Source organism: Homo sapiens, chromosome 13, assembly GCF_000001405.40.
Source record: "Homo sapiens chromosome 13, GRCh38.p14 Primary Assembly".
Classification (NCBI taxonomy): domain Eukaryota; kingdom Metazoa; phylum Chordata; class Mammalia; order Primates; family Hominidae; genus Homo; species Homo sapiens.
This window is the reverse complement of record NC_000013.11, coordinates 71158851-71170529: the sequence shown is the minus strand read 5'-3', so window position 1 is coordinate 71170529 and position 11679 is coordinate 71158851. Positions and strand designations below refer to the sequence as shown.

Below are 11679 nucleotides of genomic sequence, written 5' to 3'. Positions count from 1 at the left end.
CTGGATGTGATACACTGAAAAAGACACTTTGTCATTTATGTGATATTCCTGACCCCATATTCATAACCTGAATCCAGTTATAAGGAAATATTACACAATTCAAATTGAGAGAGATTCTACTAAATAACTGCCTGCAGTCTTTGAAAGTGTCAGGGTCATGAAAGTAGAAGTACAACTGAGGAACCGTTCCAGACTGAATGAAACCAGAGACCAGACAGCTAAATGCAATGTGAGATACTAGATCAGTGGCTAAATCAGGAGAAAAGAATAGCTCTAAAGGACATTATTTGGACAACTGATGAATTAGATTTGAAAACAGAGTGCAGATTATAGTATGGTATTAATGTTATATTTCCCAATTTTGAAAATTGTACTCTGGTCATCTAAGGGAATGTTCTTGGTCATAGGAAATATACAAAAGACTTTCTGGCTGGAAGACACCATGTTTCCAATTTATTTAAATAATATTAAAATACATAGAGAACTAGTACTAGTAATGATAGTAACAAAGCAATTGTGGTAAAATCTAAGCAATTAGGTGCAGCTGGCTAAAGAGGGCAGAAGCTCTTTGTACAATTTGTATAACTTTTCCCTAATTTTGAAATAATATCAAAATAAAAAGTTTAAAGAATAGGGAGTCTGGAAAGTGTACATTATTTAACCTTATAAGGAAAGTGCAGTGTATATATTTAAAAAATAAAGATTTGAATATTAGATAAACTCATTTTACTTTTTAGAAAATATGTAGTTTGGAAGATATGTTCCAATAGAGAATGTGTATTAGTATTCTACTTGCTTCTAAACAGCAGGTGATAACAATTTTAGTAAAAGCACTGTTGTTTGTAATATTTTTGTTCTTTTCCTATTTCAAAGATCAAGGAAACAGCTCTCTTTTAAAACAGTTATGAGTCAAGGTGAATTCAAACCAGATGTTTAGAGAGTCTCATTTCACTTGAAGATTTCTGATACACTCTGTAGAGAACGTCTAAGACATAATGACGAGCCAACATTTTTTATTTAAGATTGGATATTCATGGGTCAGCCTTCAATGTTTGTTTTTCTAACTGTTTTATAGTGAAGTTTGGTTAAAAGACTTGGCACAGTGCTCTTCAGTTTAATTTTCAGCCTGACAGAAATGCTGGCCTCAGTGTGTGTATGTGTGTAATTTAGTTGCTGTGCTACTGGAAGTCTATGGAAGATTAATGAATGGTGAGGCTCCGTGGCAGTTGTAAGGGGATGCAGGATACAGAATACCAGCCACCATCTGTTCAAAATGCCTTTTGTAGTGCTTTTAAGGAAAACAGTTACCAGCAGGAGACAGAGGCAAACAATGGCTTTAAATATTAATGTTTCTGTTCTCACAAATAAATATTGTAATTGTTCTTGTATCATCTTAACAAATAAATATGCATATTAGTTTGCAACCATGTTGTATATTCAATTCTCCAAAGCAGGAAAATTACCAGTAATTTAATATACTTACCAATACTTCCTTTCAATTAGGATCTTCAAGGTATGATATATATTAAATCCAAAGAAAAGCTCAGTAAATCATCTTCTACTTTGGAATTAATGTTTATCCTTAGAAGCACCTCCACCATCGTTTCATACAATTTATACAATGTGCATTAATTATGTTCTCATAGATTCATTATCCCAATCATGCCTTCAAATCTTTTCAAAAGTGTCACTCGATACCTGGAATGCTAACTGTTATTTATTAATGAGTTCACTAGGAAAACTCTAGACTAGTGCTTTTCAAACTTTAATTGAAAACAAATCACCTGGGGTCTTTTAAAATGCAGATTCTGATCAGTAAGTTTTGGCTTAAACCTGACATGATGAATTTCTAATAAACTTCCAGGTGATGCTGATGTTGCTAATCTATGGGTTACACAATGATTAGTATAGATTAATCTCTCTGATGTTTTTTGCTGCCAAGAATAGTGGAGGGGTTCATTCAAAAAAGGTAAAAATATACACACCCACCTGAATGTTGGTATCTACTTGGCTCGGTCATTGCCAGTGGTGGTGGATGTCAACCACCCATTCGGCAACTGGGTGTCTAATATTCACCCAGTCACCAAATAACAATGACGACAACAACAACAATAATAATAGCAACTCTTTAATGCTAATCAAATGTCATTAGAATCAGTATTGGGTGCTTTTATCAACACTTTTTGTTATATCAGGAAATCATAAAATATGTACATAAAACTTGTACATTTTATCTTAATTAAAAAACATAAATGTTAATTCTTTCACCTATATTTGATCCCAGGCCAAGGTATTTTATTTTAGTATAACTCAGCAGATTAGATTTCCTTGTCATCTTTCTTACATAAAAGGGACCCATAATTCATCACCTCAGATTTCCAGTTTTCATTTATTTCAAGTGGAGCAATAACTTAAGTACACTTGCAGAGAACTACGATTAGAAGATTTACAGTAACTTTCAATTTGTTACAATTAGCTTCTCTATACCTAATTCAAGTGTAATTATTTTAGGAAGTCAACTTTATTGGGAGGATCCAAAGCACCCAACATAATTACCATAGAAACAAAAAATTCTTCTTTTTGTTTTACTTGTTATTATTGCTATACATAATGATTAATTGAAATTATAGCTTCAGAGACAAATATAGCCAAAATGTTTAACTCATTACTAAACACTGGAAGCAGAACTATGTGCATAAACTATGCAACTGACTAGCTATAAGTGTAATTGTGCCATTAGTATCCATCAGTTTGTTTCACAGAAGGTAGAGAGAATAATAACCAGTCAACAAGGTGGTGGATGGTTAAGAAAGCTTCTAGTCTTCAAGAAAATCCAAAGCATATCTGCAACATTTAAAAAAAATTAAAGGGATTAAATTCATAATCTTCAGAAATGTTTCTCATAATCTCTTCTGATACTTCCCATTTCTTTCGTACATTCGGCTCATTTTTTCTTCCCATATTGAGTCATATTTTCTTTTCCATCACCCTTTTACCACTCTCAGATTTTATTTTGAGGTGTGTGTGTGTGTGTGTTTCTGTGTGTATATATGTGTGTGTGTGTATGTGCATGTGTATTACTTTAGCCACTTTATATTCTTACCTTTTTCTCCATTTTCTCAAGTCTCACCTCCAATTCTTCTTCAGAATCATGAAATATCTGGGGGAAAATGGGAAAAAAAGGGCAGTCTAAAATTATTTTCTTGGTATTAAACTTTTGTATCTTACAGATATTTGCCAAATTTATTATTTGCTTGATCCGTCAATGAACTAAGGTAGTAGTCTTTAAGGCTCGTGCGTCCCAATAGAGTAAATTAAAGCAACACTGCTGTTTGTTAGTAGAGAATGCCTTAATTATAAGGATCATTCAAATAATATAAAATTAGAGAGTCATTAAATACAACGCAAATAAATACATATGAATGAATTACCTGGAAACAGAAAGCCAGCCTAGGAGGTTTTGTTCTTAATATAATTACCTTAGTGCCACCAACTAATGATAAGATCATGAAATATGAGCAAAATACAACTATATTTTTCACTCTTTTCTCTTAAAAATATATGATTTTTCATTATTCACGATTCTCATCAGAGAAAGCAAACAAGAGCAAAATTAATTAAAAAATGAAAATACGCTATAGTCAAAATTTCAATAGAACTATGCTAGAAAAATATTACCAAAGAAACATCGAATATTTGGAAAAAATACATATATAAGTTAGCTTAATTACTACCTATGCAAAAGATTGGTTGTAGGTTTTATGTCTACCTAATAATGTCATGATTTAGTGAGAAAAGGATTGAATTGAAATTCTGAAAACTTCAATTATGTGCCTTTTAAAATTTTTCTTTTCAGAATAAAATCTGTTGTAAAATATTTAAAAGCTAAAATAGACAAAAAAATTTTTAAGGAATGATTTATATATTATACATAAGCAGAAATTTAGGTTCAAATTAGAATATGGAAAACAAATGGCTTTAATCATCTATTTTCCTGATAAATAGCAAAATACTTTTGTAACATTAGATGTTTTATTCAATATCTTTTTGTTAATGATTAGAGGAAGTTAAGAGGAAGCTTCTCCAGGTCCAGAAATTAGACATTTACAGTATTTATCAGCATACAGTTGTCTTTCTAAGGCTTTTGATGTACAACTGTACACACCAAGAGACACATACACCTGCAAACACAGACAAAGCTACCAACTGATGTGCCTATGAATGGATGATATTCTACTTTATTCACTATTGGTTTGATCTCTTAAATAAGTCATGCATTGTTTACAGGGCACTGTATTAGCAAAACTGATTCAATGTGATATTCAGGTTTCTATTTCAGAAGTCATAAACAGTGCAAATTTGGATTAGTGAAACTGTTTTTGCCTATAAACGATTTTCCAATAGAAATAGCTCAAACAGTAAATCGAAAGCAAAAACTACCCTCAGAATTATCATTATCTAATATATACACAACATTAAAGAAAAGAAACCCACCAAAACTTCTTAACGGATTTAATATATTTTCTTGTATAATTTTTTCACCAAGTTTTCCATGTAAATTGTGCTTACTAAGGTATAGATACTTAATTGAAATCTAAATGTAGAAGAATTTGCAATTATAGTTATGTCTACCTTACCTTAAGAACAAAATAAATATTGCATAACAACAAAATGAATACAAAAAATCCTAAAAAAAAAAATGTAAGCAACTGGCCGGGCGTGGTGGCTCACGCCTGTAATCCGAGCACTTTGGGAGGACAAGGTGGGAGGATCACCTGAGGTCAGGTGTTCGAGACCAGCCTGGCCAACATGGTGAAATCCCGTCTCTACTAAAAATACAAAAATTAGCTGGGCATGATGGCAGGTGCCTGAAACCTCAGCTACTCGGGAGGCTGAGGCCGGAGAATCGCTTGAACTTGGGAGGCGGAGGTTGCAGCGAGCTAAGATTGCGCCATTGCACTCCAGCCTGGGTGACAAGAGCGAAACTTGGTCTCAATAAAAAAAAAAAAAAAAAAAGAGTAAGGAACTAATGTTAATAAACAGCTTAGCTAGCTCACACTGCCTATGTCCATGCTACAAAACTGTAGACATAAAACAAAACTAATATCTGATGTTCTCATGTTCCTTTCAAAGATTGGGTTACCTTGGTGTTTCCCTCAAGAGACTGTACATTTGACTGAAATCACTCAATATCAGTAATTTTATAAGTACTTTCCCTCCATTCCGAAAACAAAACTATTTATATTAGCTAGAACCTGTGAATATGATTGCTTACATGGCAAAATGTAATTAGGTTTAGAGACTTTGAGGTGAGAAAATTAACCTGATACCCAGGTAGACCAAATCTAATCACACGATTCCTTAAAAGCAGAGAACTGATCCCAGCTGTGTGCAGAGAGATGGCAGCATGAGAAGGATTGGACTTGGACCACATCCAGTTGCTGCTTCTAATATGTATGGGGCTGTGTGCAAGGAATTGAATTGTGCCAACAACCAGAATGAGGGAGGAAATGGATCCCCCACTCTCACCCCGAGTCTTCAGAAAGAAATGCAACCATGCCAAAACTTTGGCTTTAGCTGGAGTGAGATTAGCATTGAAATCCCGACTTATAGAAAATAATACAGTTGAGTTATTTTAAGCCACTAGGTTTGTGGTCACTTATCAGGACAGCAAAAGAAAACGAATACAATTCCAAATCATATGTCTGGTTTAGTTGCCATGTCTCTTTAGTCTACTTCATTTGGCAGTTTTTTCAGTCTTCCATTGACTTTCATGACCTTAACACTTTTGAAGATTGTAGACAGATTAGAATGTCCTTCAATATGGGTTTCAGTGTCCATACTGTTAGATTTAGGTTATGAGCATTTGGCAGATTACCACAGAAAGAATACTACAAGTCTTCTCATTGTATTTTGTCAGATGGAGAATGATTTTGATTCTGTCCATTGCTGATGATATTCACTCTGACCACTTAAGTAAGTTATCTGCCAGGATTCTCCAACTGTGAAGTGACTATTTTTCCTTTGGTAATTCTTTAAAGTTTTGGAGGGAGCACTTTGAACTATGTAGTTATCACATTTGTCACCAGACTGTCAGCAGACTGTTAATTAATTTATATATTAAAGTATGGGCTCCTGGTTTCCTCTTTAATTCGAGGGTTACAGTCATTGCTTTTATTTAGATGTCTCTATGTCTCTCCAATGGATATTCTCATGACTGTTTTTGGATTCCCCCTCGGGCTACCTGGCTATGAGGATATTCTGTTCACACCATTGGGTTCCATGACTCCACACCACGTTACCCCAGATCCTGCCTTCCTATGGACATCACTTTCACTACTTCTTGGGCTCTGATGTTTCTCACCAGCCACCCCCACCCCCCCACATAGATACCCACCTCACTTTACTGGGCTCTGACTCTTAATTTCCACAATTTTTCAAACTAAGTTAAAACTTCACTTGTTCTTTATGGAACCCAATAACTTAGTGTTGAAAATGTGTCAGTTACTAACTGGTACATGGTTTCAGGATACCATGGGATCAGTTGCAAAATACTATGAATAAAAATTAGATTATTAATCTAATTTAATCAGCAATTAAGGGGAGTTGTTCTTAGTTTTGCTCATATATCCTACAGAGTTAGAGTGAAAATTTTCAAATTATTTAATGTGATACAAACATTGTATTCTAGAAAATTTCACAATTGCATTCGGTAAACTTTAGTAAGAAAGTATAGTATGAATGTTTATTCATCTCTTAGTTTATTTAAAATGCTAACATACAACACAAAAGAGTCACCAGAGTCAACAAGTTTAAATGAAAAGTATTTTAAATGCTTAGTCAGAAACCCTAGATTCAAATATATACCCTCTAATTTACAGTGGGCAGATTAATTACTCTTTTTTTCTCATTTATAAATAGAATAATCTTTGTTTTGTTCACATTGGAAAGCTCATGAGCTTTCAAGTCAGATAAGTCTGGGTTTGGATTTCTGTTTTGACATCAATAGTTACATGACTTTTGACAAGTTATTTAATTTACCACATCTTCTATTTCATCATCAGTAACATGAAGATAGTAATTGCTACCTTAGCAATCAGTCTGAAGTAGGAATGAGATGGGACAATATGCATAAATACCTAAGCCAGTAGCTGCTAGGTGCTTATAGTGTGTGACAGCAGTATCAACAATTGAACAAAAAAAGAGAGAAATATCAAAAATATTTTGTGAATTTTAAGGTGTTATAAATATGTTATTTATTTTATTTTTAAAAATATTTTCCTAACACTTTGCATTTCTCCTTTTAGGCATTATGGGAAAGCAATAATTTATTTTCTAGCATTTTTAAGGCCATATTCCCTACTGAAATTTAATAGAAGAAAAGAACCACGTTTGTGCTCAATGTCCTAATATTCACCTATAATATTTCATTGTAGTTATTTGTGTGCATCTGTATCTTCTTTCACTTGAGAGTAAACTCTCCACAGGCAGTGTCTGTCATGAGGTTTAACTTATGAGTAAGTGTCACATGGATGTGAAATAAAGAAACGAAAAAAATATGTGTTAAATTCACATATATTGATAGAAGCAAACAGCAGTATTGGTTCACATTCAGAACCATCTTTCTAGTTCAGATCTACTGAACATAGAATATTTTAATAAAACCATAGAACATCTGTATTTTTAAAAATCTGTTTGAATATGAGAAAATGCTTGTTATCTTATAAGAATTTCAAACTAATTTTGAATATGTAAGATATTAGTTTTTCATTTAATAAAACTGAATTCACTTCCATTAATAGAAATAAAAACAAATAGGCCGTGCGCGGTGGCTCACGCCTGTAATCCCAGCACTTTGGAAGGCCAAGGTGGGTGGATCACGAGGTCAGGAGATTGAGACCATCCTTGATAACACCGTGAAACCCCGTCTCTACTAAAAATACAAAAATTAGCCGGGCATGGTGTTAGGCACCTATAGTCCCAGCTACTCGAGAGGCTGAGGCGGGAGAATGGCGTGAACCTGGGAGGCGGAGGTTGCAGTGAGCCCAGATATGCCACTGCACTCCAGCCTGGGCGACAGAGCGAGATTCCGTCTCTAAATAAATAAATAAATAAATAAATAAATAAATAAGTAATAAAAAATAAAAACAAATAACTAAAATTAATGTGTACATTTTTTTAAGTTAAACAGTTTTTTTTTTAGAGACAACATCTCAGGTGTATCACTATTTGCCGAGTCTGGAATCAAACTCATGAGCTCAAATAATCCTCTCATCTCAGCCTCGCGAGTAGCTGGAACTACGGACATTTACCATTCTGCCTGGCTTATACTTTAAAACCCAAAGTGAATGTCTATCGACAATTGAGGAACTGTGTCCAGTTCAAAACTATAAGAAAGGAGTAGCTTGAAAAACAACAGGTTGGAATTTAATTAAAAGACTGATGAGAAGCAACAAGAGCAAGCGGGAAGAGGGAAAAAAGATCCCTTAGTGCTTAAGAGTAAAGAATTGCCTGTAGCATTTTAGGGACAGTGGTTTTAAGGGTTAGAATGGTCCAGGACAAATTCAAGGCCATCATACCCCTCTGCCTCTGCATCTTTCCACTAAGACTGGAAAGCGAAGTATCTTAACAATCTGTGCTCCCTGCTTCTGGTGCTTTTCAGTGATAGCCTGAAAGTTATCAAGCTTCCCAAAAACCTAGTACAAGAAATTTCACTTAGTTTCATTGTGATTTGGATCATTATTGCACAGAATATATTATTGAAAGCATACAAATACTTGTAAGTTGTTGTTAGGCAATTGACATTTAAAATGAATATCTTTAAATGAATTTTCAAGACTACAAGTGTTAATAGTGGGGAGAGAAAATGAGGAGTTTAGGTTTTAAGTGATCCTTTTTTTCACCTGCAGTTTTAAGTTTCCCCAGAAAAATCTTCCAAATTCTTTAAAAGGCAAACTTGTTAATATTGCCTTCCTTGTTAATATCCTTCTATGACTCTTAATTAAACAAGATAAAACCCAAATTCCTCAGCATATAGTCAGCAGGATTCTGCCCGCTTTCCTGTTTCTGTTTAGCCATTTCTCACAAACCCTTTGGAAGTCGATCTCAGCAAGCTGCTTATTGCTTTCTTTATGCATTTTGTGTGATGTTCTCTCTGCCTCAACTAACCCATTTATTTACTCAGTGAGTGCATACCCATAGGAAAACACCTCAACTCATAGCCCTGCACCTTTGTGAATGCTTACAAGCTCAGGCAGAGTGTGGCGCTTTCTTCTTTGTGGCTCCCATGTCTCTAATGACATTCCTGTAATTATGCTTAGGTGTTCATGTCTTCCATTAGTCTGCAAATGCCTCAAAAAGAAAGATCATGTTCTATACCTCCATGATCCTCTTGTGCCTAGACAGAATCGGTGTTTTGTAAAGCATTGTTGAAAAATGAATGAGTGACATATATGGAAGAGAAATATTACTAACATGCCAAATAGGTTCAGATCATAGACGAACGAGACGGTTCTAAGAATAACAATTCATTTACTTGACAATTTTCTCAGGGCCAACTAATCTAACTTTCCTTGCAAAACCACCTTCCCCATTCCATGCATAAAGAGTAGAATAAAAATGATGCCATTACATTCGGTGCACCCTAGTGGCTACAGAGAATCGACAGCACTTAAACACAGGGTTTCACTGTTATAATACTTTTTCACACCTCATCTCTACAGCTCAGCCCACTCCTTAACAATTGAAAAACATTTGGGTGATTTTGTTTATTTGAATATTTATAAGATCTGCCATTTGTAATTTCTTGAGGTTTTTTATTGCTTATATAAAATGACATCTATAATGCTTTTAATCAACTTCTGTATCTAGCACTCAAATGCTGTTGACATTAAGGTAAACAATATAATTTGCACTAACACTATGGAAACCTTTAAGTTCATGTATACACAATATGTTATCTTCTGCAAAATTTTATGGAAATTTCTTTTTTTTTTTTACTTTAACACAGTAGACAGGTACTCGAGCAAAAATGACCTTTTTATATCCTAAGTTCCTCAAATCCTCTACTGTGATTCAGTTTTGCATATTGCACCTGCTGAGTTCCTAATGCAAACTATCACAGTGTGTGGTCCCTGCTACTATAAACATGAATTCTCTCATTGTGATTTCATATCTTCAGCACTGATTATAATGATTCTTTGTCAGCTCAAAGCTGTCAACATTGTTCTCAAAGGACTGCAATCTTAGCTAAAAAAAAATACTGGGAGCTAGTCACATGGAATTAAAGGTGGACTAGTGTTCTCAAAAAAAGAAAAGGAAGACAAATGTTTCTCTACTTTCTCACTGACAAGAAAAAAATGAACTGTATAGTTTTGGTTTTGTCATATCACCTTATTAATGAAACTTAATATTTTTTAATGAAACACTTGGCATCACTTTTATTTTTTCTTATTCTACTATGGCAATATTCTAAATATAAGCCACTGATAGTTATTTTTCTGCTTAATCCTCCTTAACACATTTCCCTTTTCATAAAAAGTGATAAACTACACAAACACTCAACTGCCTGATTACACAAATACCTCTACTAATTTGCCAAGGTTAGCAGAAATGGTGCGTACAGTATTTTGTTGGCTATGCATGGATGAAGGGTGCAGAAACAGCACAAGGCTATATATTTCACACTCCATAAACAAAATGGTGAAACATACACTAGAAAGGTGCAATACTTATCTAATCTAAATTCAGACAACATCAGTAGCTTTGATCTCTATTAGGTTAAATCACTGTCTCTTCAAGGAATGATCAAATCATTAACCCAACAAACCAGTTGATGAAAATACTCACATATATGAATACTGAGTAAGCAACATTTCTGATACAGTAAGAAATAACTCCACATAGTGGAGCATAATAATAATGACTGGAATAGTTTTAAAGTTTTATCCTTTTTTTTCCATTTATTTGTCCATTCATACAAAAAATGTATTAAACATCTCTGAACTGAGCAAAGTGCTAGGCATTAAAATAACAAAGATAAATAGCAATTTTTAATGCAATTAATCTCATAGTTTAGTGGGAAGAGCTAGCTCTATAGACAAATTAATAATACAGAACATTGTTAGAACTCTTATTAGTAAGGATAATCTCGGTCATAACAAATGACTCCCAAATTGCTGTGGTTTACAAAAACTAATATTGTTGGGCTCATCGTTGGGCTATGATTCTCCTGTATATTATATTCACTATGGAACTCAAGCTAAAAGAAATATTCTCTGTGAAATATTTCTGACTCTTAATATTATTTTTATCTGGAAGGGACACATGCCAATTTCACTTATATTTCACTGGTGAGACCAAATAACATGGCCAAGACTGACATTAATGTGGTAGTAAAGTATTATTCTCCCTCCACAAGGGGCAAGAAAAAAATGGAAATAACTATTCAACTCTAATAGTACTATAAAACAGAGGTGGACCAAGAACTTTTGGAAGACACTGGGCAAATCAGTGTTAGTTCTGGAAGAATCTGAGGTGAAGAGGACATCACGGAGGAGGTGACAATTAAAGGACAATAAATATACCCTGTCAATATTACCTTCTCACATTATTAAGGGGTTGGGGGGTGTAATTCTCTACAGAAATTTAGTGGTCTAGAAGTATAAAAGAAAATGGTAT

General features: G+C 34.0%; 1 long non-coding RNA gene across 1 annotated transcript in view; it reads right to left on the bottom strand.

Moving 5' to 3' along the window:
* Window positions 1–2112: 2112 nt before the first annotated feature.
* LINC00348 (long intergenic non-protein coding RNA 348) overlaps window positions 2113–11679 on the bottom strand; it is a 153277-nt gene continuing 143710 nt past the window's right edge. Inside the window, exons 3-4 of the long non-coding RNA NR_047699.1 lie at window positions 3104–3160; window positions 2113–2844 (exon numbers count right to left, since the gene is read on the bottom strand). This is a non-coding gene — a long non-coding RNA (long intergenic non-protein coding RNA 348). The remainder of the gene's footprint in view (window positions 2845–3103; window positions 3161–11679) is intronic.